Here is a 15,556-nt window from a genome sequence, read left to right as displayed (position 1 = left end):
TAATCCCAGCACTTTGGGAGGCCAAGGTGGGCGGATCACCTGAAGTCAGGAGTTCAAGAGCAGCCTGGCCAACATGGTGAAACCCCATCTCTACTAAAAATACAAAAAAACCAGCTGGACGTGGTGGAGGGTGCCTGTAATCCCATCTACTTGAGAGGCTGAGGCAGGAGAATCGCTTGAACCTAGGAGGCAGAGGTTGCAGTGAGCAGAGATCATGCCACTGCACTCCAACACACACACACACACACACACACACACACAGACACACACACACACTTTATTTTATTTTTTTCTTGAGACAGAGTCTCGCTCTGTCGCTCAGGCTGGAGTGCAGTGGCATGATCTCGACTCACTGCAACCTCTGCCTCCTGGGTTCAAGCGATTGTCCTGCCTCAGCCTCCCCAGTAGCTGGGACTACAGGCGTGCACTACCATGCCCAGCTAATTTTTGTATTTTTAGTAAAGATGGGAGTTTTGCCATGTTGGCCAGGCTGGTCTCAAACTGCTGACCTCAGGTGATCCACCTGCCTCGGCCTCTCAACATGCTGGGATGATAGGCATGAGCTACCCAACCTGGCCCACATATACCTTTTCATATTATAATTGTTATGTGGAGGTGTAGAGAAAGCCAGGCATTCGGATGGACGAGGCACATCCTCTTGCAGATTCGAATTCACAGACTGCCTTGGTTATCGGCTGGCTGTGTGACCTCAGGTGTGGTGCTTAATCTCCTTGATCCAATTTGCTGGAGGGACACCCTGTGGGACTATTCTGGCAAACATGATCTGTGGCCTATCCAGCAGCCATCGGCGTTGACACTGAAAGTCCAGTTTTTTACGGCGTCAGCAGACCCATTACCACATCCTCTCATTTCCCATTGTCAATGATCCCTCAAGGAAAGGTTAGAGGCCAAGGGGATCCTAAGGGAAACTTGCCTGGAGGCCTCTGGGAAGCTTTCTTCCCTTGATAAAACAATCCATGTGCTCACTTCGGCAGCACATATACTAAAATTGGAATGATACAGAGAAGACTAGGATGGCCCCTGTGCGAGGATGACACACAAATTCGCAAAGCATTCCATATTTTTTTGTCCTCAGCAAACTAACACAGGAACAGAAAACCAAACACCGGTCTGAGCACAGTGGCTCACGCCTATAATCCCAGCACTTTCGGAGGCCGAGGTGGGCAGATCACTTGAGGTCTGGAGTTCGAGACCAGCCTGGCCAACATGGTGAAACCCCATTTCTACTAAAAATATGAAAATGAGCCAGGCATGGTGGCACACACCTGTACTCTCAGTTACTCGGGAGGCTGAGGCACAAGAATTGCTTGAATCTGGGAAATGGAGGTTGCAGTGAGCCAAGATCACACCACTACACTCCAGCCTGGGTGACAGAGTGAGACCCTCTCTCAAAAAAATAAAGAAGCCGGGCGCGGTGGCTCACACCTGTACTCCCAGCACTTTGGGAGGCTGAGGCAGGTGGATCACGAGGTCAGGAGATCAAGACCATCCTGGCTACCATGGTGAAACCCTGTCTCTACTAAAAATACAAAAAAAAAAATTAACCGGGCATGGTGGTGGGCGCCTGTAGTCCCAGCTACTCGGGAGGCTGAGGCAGGAGAATGGTGTGAACCTGAGAGGTGGAGCTTGCAGTGAGCCGAGATCGTGCCACTGCACTCCAGCCTGGGTGACAGAGCGAGACTCCATCTAAAAAAAAAAAAAAAGAAAAAAAGAAAACCAACCAAACACCGCATGTTCTCATTTATAAGTGGGAGCTGAACAATGAGAACACAAGGACACGGGGAGGGGAACAACATACACTGGGGCCTGTTGCAGGGTGGTGGGGAGGGAAAGCATCAGGATAAATAGCTAATGGATGCGGGGCTTAATACCAGGTGATGGGTTAACAGGTGCAGCAAACCACCATGGCACACGTTTACCCATGTAACAAACCTGCATGTCCTGCACATGTACCCCAGAACTTAAAATAAAATTAAGGCTGGGCTTGGTGGCTCATGCCTGTAATCCTAGCACTTTGGGAGGCCAAGGCAGGCTCGTCACCTGAGGTCAGGGGTTCCAGACCAGCTTGGCCAACATGTGGAAACACTGTCTCTACTAAAAATACAAAAAATAGACTGGGTGAGGTGGCTCACGCCTGTAATCCCAGCACTTTGGGAAGCCGAGATCAGGAGATCGAGACCAGCCTAGCCAACGTGGTGAAACCCCATCTCTACTAAAAATACAAAAATTATCCGGGCGTGGTGGCGCATGCCTGTAATCCCAGCTACTCGGGAGTCTAAGACAGGAGAATTGTTTGAATCCGGGAGGCAGAGGTTGCAGTGAGCCGAGATCACGCCATTGCACTCCAGCCTGGGCAACAAGAGCAAAACTCCATCTCTAAATAAATACATAAATGAAATAAAAATACAGAAAATCGCCAGGCATCATGGCGCATGCCTGTAATCCCAGCTACTTGGAAGGCTGAGGCAGGAGAACCACTTGAACCCAGGAGGCAGAGGTTGTAATGAGATGAGATCGTGCCACTGCACTCCAGCCAGTGTGACAGAGCAAGACTCTATCTCAAAAAGAAAATAAAAATAATAAAATTAAAAAAGAATTCACAAGCGTCACCCCTACATATATATATACACACATGTATATCTATAGGCTGGAGTACAGTGACGCATTCAGTGTACTGCAGTAATCACTGCAGCCTCGACCTCCCAGACTCAAACAATTCTCTCACCTCAGCCTCCCAAGCAGCTGGAATCACAGGCATGTGCCACTATGCCTGCCTAATTTTTTATTTTTATTTTTGTAGAGACAAGGTCTCAATATAATGCCCAGGCTGGTCTCAAACTCCTACGCTCAAGTGATCCGCCCATCTTATCCTCCCAAAGTGCTGGGATTACAGTCATGAGCCACTGCACTGAGCCTAATTTTATTATTTTTTATTTTTTGTAGAGACAAGGTCCCACTAGGCTGATCTCAAACGATCCTTCCACCTTGGTCTCCCAGTGTTGAGGTTACAGGCACGAGCCACCACCCCCAGCCTAAGAGACTATCATCAATGATTTTTTTTTCTTTTTTCTTTTCTAGAGCAGGTACAATGTAATCAATTATTATTATTATTATTAAGACCGAGTCTTGCTCTGTCACCAAGCTGGAGTGCAGAGGCATGATCTTGGCTCACTGCAACCTCTGCCTCCTGGGTTCAAGCAATTGTCCTGTCTCAGCCTCCCGAGTAGCTAGGACTACAGTTGTGTGTCATCACACTCAGCTAATTTTTTTTTTTTTGTTATTTTAGTAGAGAAGGGGTTTTACCATGTTGGCCAGGATGGTCTCTATCGCTTGACCTCACGATCCACCTGCCTCGGCCTCCCAAAGTGCTGGGATTATAGGCGTGAGCCACCGTGCCTGGCCATCAATTTATTATGATGATGATGATGATTTTTGAGATGGAGTCTCAGTCTGTCACCCAGGCCAGAGTGCAGTGGCGCAATCTTAGCTCACTGCAATCTCTGCCTCCTGGGTTCAAGCGATTCTTTTGCCTCAGCCTCTCGAGTAGCTGGGATTACAGGTGCCCGCCACCAAGCCCGGCTAATTTCTTTTTTTTTTTTTTTTTGAGATGCAGTCTCACTCTGTCACCCAGGCTGCAGTGCAGTGGCGCCATCTCGGCTCACTGCAAGCTCCGCCTCCAGGGTTCACGCCATTCTTCCTGCCTCAGCCTCCCGAGTACCTGGGACTACAGGCGCCCGCCACCACGCCCAGCTAAATTTTTTGTATTCTTAGTAGAGACGGGGTTTCACCGTGTTAGCCAGGATGGTCTCGATCTCCTGACCTTGTGATCCACCCGCCTCGGCCTCCCGACGTGCTGGGATTACAGGCGTGAGTCACCGCGCCCGGCCTTTTTTTTGGTATTTTTAGTAGAGATGGGGTTTCACCATGTTGGCCAGGCTGGTCTGGAACTCCTGACCTCAGGTGATCCGCCCGCCTCAGCCTCCCAACGTGCTGGGATTACAGGCGTGAGCCACCGTGCTCAGCCTCAGTGATTTTTGAGAATGTGAAGGGGTCTTGGGACCAAAGGGTTCAAGAACTGCTATCCATGAGCAGTGCTGGGCACACAGTGAGTAGGTGTGAGTGTTGGCGCTGCAGCTCACTTTGGAAAATAACTTTGTGTTGGTGCCTCATGCCTGTAATCCCAGCATTCTGGGAGGCCAAGGCAGGAGGATTACTTGAGCCCAGGAGTTCGAGACCACCCTGGGCAACATAGTGAGACCCCCCCTCCTCTACAAAAAATAAAAAAATTAGCTGCATGTGGTGGCGTGTGCCTATGGTCCCAGCTATTCGGTAGGCTGAGATAGGAGGATGGGTTTAGGCCAAGAATTCCAGGTTGCAGTGAGCTGTGTTCATGCCGCTGCACTCCAGCCTGGGTAACAGAGCAAGACCCTGTCTCAAAAAAAAAAAAAAAAAAGAAAGAAAGAAAGAAAGAAAAAGAAAAAAAAGAGTCCAATTCTGTGAGAAAATGAATATCTGCAAAGAATAATTTTTTTTTTTTTTTTGAGATGGAGTCTCGCTCTGTCACCCAGGCTGCAGTGCAGTGGCGCCATCTCGGTTCACTGCAAGCTCCGCCTCCCGGGTTCACGCCGTTCTCCTGCCTCAGCCTCCCCAGTAGCTGGGACTATAGGCGCCCGCCACGACGCCTGCCTAATTTTTTGTATTTTTAGTAGAGACGGGGTTTCACCATGTTAGCCAGGATGGTCTCGATCTCCTGACCTTGTGATCCTCCAGCCTCGGCCTCTTAAAGTGCTGGGATTACAGGTGTGAGCCACCAGGCCCAGCCAGATTAAATCTTTAATTATAATTTAATTATATAAGACTTAGGGTACTATAGGCCTTCATGGCTTTAGAAAACATTTTTCAAAATATTTAAAGACATTTTCATGCTTAAGGATGTCTTCATTTTAAAATAACAAACAGGACTAGGCGCCGTGGCTCACGCCAGTAATCCCAGCATTTTGGGAGGCCGAGGTGGGTGGATCACCTGAGGCCAGGAGTTTGAGACCAGCCTGGTGAACATGGCGAGACCCCTGTCTCTACTAAAAATAGAAAAATTAGCCGGGTGTGGTGGCGGGCACCTGTAATCTCAGCTACTCTGGAGGCTGAGGCAGGAGAATCACTTGAACCTGGGAGGTGGAGGCTGCAGTGAGCTGAGATCACAACGCTGCACTCCAGCCTAGGCAACAGAACAATACTCTGTCTCAAGAAAAATAAATAAGTGTGTGTGTGTGTGTGTGTGTGCGCCCAAGATTAGGACACAAAGAATCACACAGGCATAATGGGGCCTAAAAACTGTTTTTTTTTTTTAACTGTTTTTTTTTTTTTTTTTTTTTGAGATGGAGTCTCGCTCTGCCGCCCAGGCTAGAGTGCAATGGCGTGATCTCGGCTCACTGCAACCTCCGCCTCCCAGGTTCAAGCAATTCTCCTGCTTCAGACTCCCGAGTAGCTGGGACTACAGGTGTGAGCCACCACACCGGGCTAATTTTTGTATTTTTAGTAGAGACGGGGTTTCACCATGTTGGCCAGGCTGATCTTGAAGTCCTGATCTCAGGTCATCCTCCTGCCTCAGCCTCCTAAAATGCTGGGATTAAGCCATGAGCCACTGCGCCCGGCCGTTAAACTGTTTTATAAGCTCTGTGTGTGTGTGTGTGTGTGTGTGTGTGTGTGTGTGTGTGTGTGTGCTTAAGACAGTCTTTCTCTGTCACTTAAAAAAAAACCTGGTAAATAGCGGGCCCTACCTTTCCTACTGAAAAATAAATAAATAAATAAAATAATAAATCCAGGTAAATACATCTCAGCTGTAATAACCCAGCCACAGCGTGCTGTGTGTCAGGCCACGCTGTGGTGTGCCTGCAGCACCATCTGGTGGTCAGTGTTGAGTATAAAGTCAAAGGCCAAAAGAGGAGAAGGCCGGGCGCAGTGGCTCACACCTGTGATCCCAGCACTTTCCGAGGCCGAGGCGGGAAGATCACTTGAGGTCTGGAGTTTGAGACCAGCCTGGCCAACATAGTGAAGCCAGCCTGGCAGGAGAATCCCTTGAACCCGGGAGGCAGAGTTTGCAATGAGCTAAGATTGAGCCACTGCACTCCAGCCTGGGTGACAGAGTGACACTGTGTCTCAAAATAAATAAATAAGTAAACTAAAAATAAAAAATGGAAAACTAAGGAAAGAGGCAATTTACAGAGTGAGTCTCCAAATACAATTTCATCAGTTAGCAATGTGTAAAAATTAAAGTAGAGCTTCCTCTTCAAAGAGACTTTCCTCCTCGTCTACTTAGGAATAAATAGTAACTTCTCTTAGACGCAAAATGTATTCAAAGACCTGTGCTAACATTCTTAAATATCTGCTAGCCGTAATAAAGAAATCAGTGTACTTTATGTTTTTAGCTCCCACAATTTACCCTAAATATTTGCCCTGGCATGCTTATACTGGTCCAAGCAAGCATTAGGTCACAGCCTGTTCCTCTTCCTTATTTGAAGGTGTTTTTACCTTTCTCAGCATTCCACAAGTCACTTCCCCCTTCCTTTGTTCTCCTCTGCCTTTGCCTCTTTTAAAAAGTTCCAAGTTGCTAGCCAGTTGGGACAAATACAGAATGTGAGGTCCCGTTCCAGCCAATGGAAACCCGACACGGCAGTAGAGTGGATGCGTCAGGTTATAAATGACCCTGTCTCCTTTGTTCGTTGTACTCTTGTGGCAAAACTGCTGGCGAGTGTACCTTTTCTGCAGAAAGTAAAAATGGCCTTGCTGGCCGGGCTCAGTGGCTCATGCCTGTAATCCCAGCACTTTGGGAGGTCAAGGCGGGCGGATCACCTGAGGTCAGGAGTTTGAGACCAGCCTGACCAACATGGAGAAACCCCGTCTCTACTAAAAATACAATATTAGCCGGGCGTGGTGGTGCATGCCTGTAATCCCAGCTACTCGGGAGGCTGAGACAGGAGAATTGCTTGAACCTCGGAAGCCGAGGGTGCAGTGAGCTGAGATTGTGCCATTGCACTCCAGCCTGGGCAACAAGATCGAAACTCCATCTCAAAAAATAAAAATAAAAATAAAAATGGCCTTGCTGAGGAAATTAATGTTCAAGTGCTATGTCTTTTTTTTTTTTTTTTGAGGCGGAGTCTCACTCCGTTGCCCAGGCTGGAGTGCAGTGGCACGATCTCGGCTCACTGCAAGCTCCGCCTCCCAGGTTCACGCCATTCTCCTGCCTTAGCCTCCCAAGTAGCTGGGACTACAGGCACCTGCCACCACGCCTGGCTAATTTTTTTTTGTATTTTTATTAGAGACGGGGTTTCAACGTGTTAGCCAGGATGGTCTCTATCTCCTGACCTTGTGATCCACCCGCCTCGGCCTCCCAAAGTGCTGGGATTACAGGCGTGAGCCACCGCGCCCGGCCTCAAGTGCTATTTCTTTATGGCACCAAGGAATAAGCATTTCTAACAAATGTGTGAGTGGTTAAAACCATTTTTAGGGCATTATACAAGTTTACAAACATCTCAAGGGATGAGTGTTTGGAAAGACTCCCCTGAGGTGATGTAACACTGGCTGGCTGATCATAGTGGCTCAAGTTTGTAATCCTAGCACTTTGGGAGGCCGAGGCGGGTGGATCACCTGAGGTCAGGAGTTGGAGACCAGCCTGGCCAACATGGTGAAACCCTGTCTCTACTAAAAATACAAAAATTGGCCCAGTGTGGTGGTGGGCAGTAATCCCAGGTACTCAGGAGGCTGAGGCAGGAGAATCACTTGAACCCCGGAGGCACAGGTTGCAGTGAGCCGAGATTGTGCCATTGCACTCCAGCCTGGGCGACAGAGTGAGACTCCATCTCAAAAAAAAAAAAAAAAAAAAAAATAGAAACACTGGCTTAGGCAGGGCGCGGTGGCTCACATGTGTATTCCCAGCTTTTTGGGAGACCGAGGCAGACAGATCACTTGAGGTCAGGGGTTCGAGTCCGGCCTGGCCAACATGGGGAAACCCTGCCTCCACTAAAAACACAAAAATTAGCCAGGCTTGGTGGCAGGTGTCTGTAATCCCAGCTATTTGAGAGGCTGAGGCGAGAGATTCGCTTGATCCCAGGAGGCAGAGTTTGCAGTGAGCCAAGATGACACCACTGCACTCCAGCCTGAGTTAGACTCCATCTCAAAAAAGAAGAAAACAAAACAAAACAGAAACACTGGCTTAGGCATTTATGAAAAACCCACAGCAAACATCCTACTCAATGGTGAAAGACTGACAATACACAAAAGAAAGAAAGAAATTCGTAACAGACATAAATGGAAAGACATCCCAAGTTTATAGACTGGAAGACAATAGTATTAAGATGACGATGCAGCTGGGCACGGTAGCTCATGCCTATAATCCCAGCATTTTGGGAGGCTGAGGCAGGAGGATTGCTGGAGCCCAGGAGTTTAAGATCAGCCTTGGCAACTGATATGGTTTGGCTCTGTGTCCCCACTGAAATCTCATTATGAATTATAATCTCAGCGGGTCCAGGGAGGGACATGGTGGGAGGTAACTGGATCGTGGGGGCAGTTTCCCCCATGCTGTTCTCGTAGTCATGAGTGAGTTCGCACAAGATCTGATGGTTTGAAACTGTGGTGGTTCCCTCCTCTAGCTCTTTCTCCCTCCTGCCACTATATAAGACGTGCCTTGCTTCCCCTTCCCCTTTTGCTATGATTGTAAGTCTCCTGAGGACTCCCCAGCCCTGTGGAACTGTGAGTCAATTAAACCTCTTTTCTTTATAAATTACCCAGTCTCGGGTAGTTAGTTTTAACAGCATGCACCTGGTCTCTACAACAACAACAACAAAAACTTAGCTGGGTATGGTGGCACCTGCCTGCAGTCCCAACTACTGAGAAGGCTGAGGTGGGAGGATTGCTTGAGCACGAGGTCGAGGTTGCAGTGAGCCATGGGGTCGTGCCACCACACTCCAGCCTGGGCAACACAGTAAGGGCCTGTCTCAAAAAAAAAAAAAAAAAGTGATCTAGTAACTGAATTTAATCCATATCAAAATTTGAACATCTGGCTGGGCGGGGTGGCTCACAACTGTAAATCCCAGCACTTTGGGAGGCTGAGGTGGGCGGATCACCTGAGGTCAGGAGTTCAAGACCAGCCTGGCCGACATGATGAAACCCCGTCTCTACTAAAAATACAAAAATTAGCCAGGCATGATGATGCCTGTAATTCCAGCTACTTGGGAGGCTGAGGCATGAGAATCACTTGAACCCGGGAGGTGGACGTAGCAGTGAGCTGAGATCGCACCACTGCACTCTAGCCTGGGTGACAGAGAGAGACTCCATCTCAAACAAACAAACAAAACGTGCAGAATGCTAAAGACTAAGCAAATAAGTAATAGCTACCATGTCCAGAGGCTTCCTCTAAGCCCGCTAGAAGGCACTGCCCTACAGTATTTCTCTCGTTTCCACTTGTGCAGATAAGAATACTGAAATTCAGAAGTCTCCTGCCCCTGGTTACTCCAGTAGTAAGAGGTGGGGGAACTCAGGCTCTCTCTCTTCATTGCCCACATCCTGAACCACTGCTCATGTTATATGCCCATATTTTGCATGTAAATTCAAAAGATTTAGGCGTCAGGTCCCGATCCTTTAACCCCTGGTTACCAGTCCCTGTTCTAGTCCACCCCTCAGGAGGAGGCAGCTGGAGTATCTGAGGTCAGTCACACGTGCAGTCTGCCATGCTTACATGACCAACACTTGTTTAAAATTTTGTCCCCCGGACTGCGCACGGTGCCTCACGAATGTAATCCCAGCACTTTGAGAGGCCGAGGCGGGCAGATTCCTTGAGCCCAGGAGTTCGGGACTAGCCTGGGCAACATGGCAAAACCCCGTCTCTACTAAAAATACAAAAATTAGGCCCAGCATGGTGGTGGCTCACGCCTGTAATCCTAGAACTTTGGGAGGCCGAGGCAGGCGGATCACAAGGTCCAAGAGTTTGAGAACAGCCTGGCCAACATCATGAAACCCCATCTCTACTAAAAATACAAAAAGTAGCCCGGCATGGTGGCAGGTGCCTATAATCCCAGCTACCCAGGAGGCTGAGGCAGGAGAATCGCTTGAACCCAGGAGGCAGAGGTTGCAGTGAGCCGAGACTGCGCCATTGCTCTCCAGCCTGGGCAACAGGGCGAGACTCCGTCTCAAAAAAAACAAAAAACAAAAACCAAAAATTAGCCAGGCAGAGTGGCGGGCGCCTGTAGTTGCAGCTACTTGGGAGGCTGGAGCAGGAGAATCACTTGAACCCAGGAGGCGGAAGCTGCAATGAGCCGAGATCACGCCGCTGCACTCCAGCCTGGGTGACAGAGTAAGACTTCGTCTCAAAAATAAATAAATACATAAATAAATAAAAATTAAAAAATTAGCCAGGTGTGATGGCGTACCCTTGTAATCCCAGCTACTCGTGAGGCATGAGAATAGCTTGAACCTGGGAGGTTGAGTCTGCAGTGAGCCGAAATCATGACACTGCATTTCAGCCTGGGTGACAAAGCAAGACTCAAAAAAAAAAAAAAAATTTTTTTTTCATCCTAAGATCTGGGGTGAGACTCCCTGGTTGGCAATACTGCATGCGTTTTGGCACACGTCATTACCGGGAGAATTGAGCACTGTCTAGAACTCCACTGGGGGAGGACATCTGAAAGCTCACGCCTGGTGTCTCCTGGACTCTGCCCCATCCACGTTTTCCCTTGGCTGATGATGACGATGATGATGACGATGATGATGATGATGATTATTATTATTATTTTGAGACGGAGTCTCGCTCTGTCGCCCAGGCTGGAGTGCAGTGGTGCGATCTTGGCTCACTGCAACCTCCGCCTCCTGGGTTCATGCCATTCTCCTGCCTCAGCCTCCCGAGTAGCTGGGATTCCAGGCGTGTGCCACCACGCCCAGCTAATTTTTTGTATTTTTTAGTAGAGACAGGGTTTCACCATGTTGGTCAGCTGGTCTTGAACTCCTGACCTCAGGTGATCCACCTGCCTTGGACTCCCAAAGTGCTAGGATTACAGGCGTGAGCCACCACGCCCGGCGTACAGTTTAAATTTATAAACATAAAAGAATTTGGGGGCCAGGCGCGGTGGCTCACGCCTGTAATCCTAGCCCTTTGGGAGAACGAGGCGGGCAGATCGCTTGAGCTCAGAAGCTCGAGACCAGCCTGGGCAACATGGCAAAACCCCATTTCTACAAAAAATTTAAAAATTAGCTGAGCGTGGTAGCGAGTACCTGTAATCCCAGATACTCGGGAGGCTGAGGTGGGGGATCGCTTGAGTCCAGGAGTTCCAGGTTGCAGTGAGCAGAGATCGCGCCACTGCCCTCCATCCTGGGCGACAGAGTCAGACCTTGTTTCAATAAATAAATAAATAAATAAATAAATAAATAAATAAATAAATAAATAAATAAATAAGGTGAGGGGGGTATTTCTGAAATGACGTGGAAGCTCGGATTCTTTTTTCCAGAAGCCTCAGTTCAGAGTCTTTTCCAAGGGCCGGTTGCGGAGTTTGAGGATAGAGCACTAAGAGCACCCAATAGGAATGACTGAAAGCCCATGACGTCACTAGTGGCTGGGCAACAGCTCCAGAGTGCCTCTCGCTGACCTGCTTCGGGAAGTGGCCCCCGGTTCGCGTCACATGCCAGCCCCTGGCCTGCGTCACAGACCAGGATACACACCCAAATCCCAGGGGCCAGGAAATGTGTTCCCCGTGAAACCAAATTTAGCAAAGGAAAGAATGCAACAACTTTTAAACTCATTAAAGGCTCCCTGGCCGGGCGCGGTGGCTCACGCCTGTAATCCCAGCACTTTGGGAGGCCGAGGCGGGAGGATCACAGGGTCAGGAGATCGAGACCATCCTGGCTAACACGGTGAAAGCCCGTCTCTACTAAAAATACAAAAAATTAGCCGGGCGTGGTGGTGGGCGCCTGTAGTCCCCGCTACTCGGGAGGAGGGAGGCTGGGGCAGGAGAATGGCGTGAACCCGAGAGGCGGAGCTTGCAGTGAGTCGAGATCGCGCCACTGCACTCCAGCCTAGGCGACAGAGAGCTGTCTCAAAAAAAAAAAAAAATTGTGTTCCCCTTCCATGGATCTTATCTAGAAAAAAACACCTGTTTTTCTCAGGCTCACACTCAACACTTCTGTGACCAGGTGTGTGGGGTTTTTCCCACGCTGACAAATTCTCCTACCCAAGCTGGGTGTCCCACAATTCAATCCAACTCTGACATTATCTACCTGGAGATAGCATCGGATCCCACAGGTGAAAGGCTCAGTCCCACGAGGCTGCCCCTTGGGAGATGCCAATCACAAGTCCACGTGGTCTCACCCGAGCTTCTGACTTGCTAGTAATGGGGGTTCCCATGACTCCCTCCTTAGGCTCAGAAATTTGCTACAATGCCTCACAGAACTAAGGAAAACACATTTATCAGTTTATCATATAATTAAATAAAACCTGTCAGATAAAGAGGTGCAAAGGGCAACATCTGAACGCCTCCCGAGCACGGGAGCAAAGGATGGGTTTGGGGGAGCTTCCAGGTTGGGCGTCTCCATGGAGTTGGGGTGCTTCCCCGCCCGGAACTGTGGGCAGAGAGCCACCCAGGTGCTGAGGCAAGAGATTGAAGGCACATACTGTTTCAATATAATAAAGAAAATACTTAGAATAAGAAAAGTTATACTAGCAATAGGATATAGAGATGATTATATATGGATATTATCAATTATTAGTTTTAGTATTAATCTCTGTTTTATTATTATAACTGAGGAAAAACCAGGCGATACAGAGTCAGGAGCTGAAGGGACATGGTGAGATGTGACCAGAAGACAAGAGTGAAAGTCCTCCGCCACGCCCAGATAAGGGCTTAAGGACGCCTTGGTCTAGTGGTAGCACCAGTGCCTGGGAAGGCACCCGTTACTTAGCAGACCGGGAAAGGGAGTTTCCCCTTCCTTGGGGGAGTTAGAGAACACTCTGCCTCACCAGCCTCTTGTGGGAGGCCGGACATTAGCCAGGCCTGCCCACAGTCATCCGGAGGCTTAAACATCTCCCTGTGGTACTGTGCTTCAGTGGTCATGATCCTTGTCCACTTTCATGTTCCGCCTGTACACCTGGTTCCTCTTTTAAGTTCCTGGGAGATAGCAGTAGCAGAAATAGTGAAAATATTAAAGTCTTTGATCTCTCTGATAAGTACATAGAAAAAATGCTGACCGTATGCTGTCTTCCCTCTCTGCTTCGTCTACCAAAAAGGGAAAGGCCCCCTGTCACATGGACACGTGACTTGCTTGACCTTATTAATCATTTGAGATGACTCACACTCCTTACCCTGCCCCCTTGCCTTGTATACAATAAATAGCAGCAGTCCAGGCATTCGAGGCCACTAATGGACTCCATGCACTGGTGGTAGTGGCCCCCTGGGCCCAGCTGTCTTTCATACTCTCTCTTAGTTTCATGTCTTTCTTTCTACAATCTCTCATCTCCACACACGAAGAGAAAACCCACAAGGCCCTGTAGGGCTGGACGCTACAAGGAACCTCTCCCACCCCCATACTTTAGGGACTTTTATGGAGACTTCAGCGCATAAGTAGGATAGATTAGTAATTCCAGCTCCAGTTCCCTCTTCTTCCGGAAAGATGTGGAGTGGGATGGGGCTACAGGTTCCATGCTTCTAATATTGACTGAGTCTTGCTGGTGATCAGCCCCCATCAGGAGCCCACCAAGAGTCACCTCATTAGAAAAAAAGGTGCTCTCAGCTGGGTGTGGTGGCTCACGCCTGTAATCCCAGCACTTTGGGAGGCCAAGGGGGTAGATCACCTGAAGTCAGGAGTTCCAGACCAACCTTGCCAACATGGTGAAACCCCCGTCTCTACTAAAAATACAAAAATTAGCCAGGCATGGTGGCGGGCACCTGTAGTCCCAGCTACTTGGGAGGCTGAAGCAGGAGACTTGCTTGAACCCAGGAGGCAGAGGTTGCAGTGTGTGGAGATTGCACCACTGCACTCCAGCCTGGTGACAGAGCAAGACGCTGTCTCAAACAAAAAAAAAAAAAAAAAAAAAAAAAAAAAAGGGAAGAAGAAAATAAAAAGAAAAAAGAAAAAATGATGCTCCCATTACTCAGGAAATTCCAAGGGATTTAGGAGCCCTTTGTCGGGAACTGGGGTCAAAGATCAAATATTAGAACAAAAGATGCTGCTGGCATCCCTAACACTGGGGAAATTATAAGGGGTTTCAAAGCTCTGTCCCAGAAACTGGGGGGACAGAGACCAAATATATATTTGTTATTGTGTGACAGTGCCCCTGGGGGGATTATATCTCCCAGCACCCCTTGCAAGTCACTGGGGTTATGTGAGTGGTTCTGGCCAATGAGAAGAGCCCTGCCTCACTTCCAGCCACACCCATTAGGGAACTTCTAATGTGCCCTCTCTCTTTTCTCTACCTGCCGGTTGGATGCAGATAGCAGTGTAGTAGTCATCTATTGCTGTCTAACAAATTACCCCTGAGTTAATTCCTCACAGCTTAAACAACAAATATTTATTGTATCACATAGTTTTTTTTTTCCCTTCTCTCTCTCTCTTTTTTTTTTAGTAGCTGGGATTACAGGCACCTACCACCACACCTGGCTAATTTTTTTTTTTTTTTTGAGACGGAGTCTCGCTCTGTCACCAGGCTGGAGTGCAGTGGCATGATCTCTGCTCACTGCAAGCTCTGTCTCCTGGGTTCACGCCATTTTCCTGCCTCAGCCTCCCAAGTAGCTGGGACCACAGGCACCCACTGCCACACCTGGCTAATTTTTTGTATTTTTAGTAGAGATGGGGTTTCACCGTGTTAGCCAGGATGGTCTCGATCTCCTGACCTCGTGATCCACCTGCCTCGGCCTCCCAATTTTTGTATTTTTAGTAGAGATGGCCCTGAACTCCTGACCTCAAGTGGTCTGCCTGCCTCGGCCTCCCAAAGTTCTGGGATTACAGGTGTCAGCCATGGTGCCTGGCCTTCTCACATAGTTTCTGGAGGGTCAGGAATCCCAAGCAGCTCGGCTGGGTGTTCCTGGTTCAGGTTTCAGTCAAGCTTGTCAGCCAGGACTGCAGTCATGTGAAGGCTCGACAGAGGCTGGAGAACCCTCTTTTTTTTTTTCTCTCGAGACAGAGTCTCAGAGTCTCACTCTGTTGCCCAGGCTGGAGTGCAGTGGCACAGTCTCCACTCACTGAAACCTTTGCCTCCCAGGTTTAAGTGATTCTCCTGCGTCAGCCTCCCGAGTAGCTGGGATTACAGGCACGTGCCACCACACCCAGCTAATTTTTTGTATTTTTAAGTAGAGACGGGATTTCACCATGTTGGCCAGGCTGGTTCTCGAACACCTGGCTTCAAGTTATCCACTTGCTTTGGCCTCCCAAAATGCTGGTATTACAGGTGTGAGCCACTGAGCCTGGCCTATCCGAGCTCACTCACAGGGCTGTTGGCTGGAGGCCTTAGTTCCTCGCTGGCTGTTGATGTCTGCATGGGCTGCTTGGGCATTCCTCGTGT

The 15,556-nt window shown here is 48.8% G+C and overlaps 1 pseudogene, besides 2 other annotated features; it reads left to right on the top strand.

Moving 5' to 3' along the window:
- Positions 238–738: an enhancer, noted in NCBI's record as "H3K27ac hESC enhancer chr19:49296757-49297257 (GRCh37/hg19 assembly coordinates)". NCBI's record gives its function as "activates a minimal SCP1, AML or CMV promoter by ChIP-STARR-seq in naive H9 embryonic stem cells {active_cell/tissue: H9 hESC(naive)}" and the evidence as "EXISTENCE:reporter gene assay evidence [ECO:0000049][PMID:30033119]".
- On the top strand, positions 980–1,085 carry RNU6-317P (RNA, U6 small nuclear 317, pseudogene; annotated as a pseudogene).
- Positions 12,810–13,450: a transcriptional cis regulatory region, noted in NCBI's record as "intergenic|chr19:49284045-49284685 region (GRCh37/hg19 assembly coordinates) targeted for CRISPR interference". NCBI's record gives its function as "positively regulates FUT1 gene expression in K562 cells {active_cell/tissue: K562}" and the evidence as "EXISTENCE:mutant phenotype evidence [ECO:0000015][PMID:31784727]".

The sequence above is a fragment of the Homo sapiens genome, chromosome 19, assembly GCF_000001405.40.
Source record: "Homo sapiens chromosome 19, GRCh38.p14 Primary Assembly".
Classification (NCBI taxonomy): Eukaryota; Metazoa; Chordata; class Mammalia; order Primates; family Hominidae; genus Homo; species Homo sapiens.
Note: the sequence above shows the minus strand (reverse complement) of the source record. Positions and strands in the feature narration are given on the sequence as shown.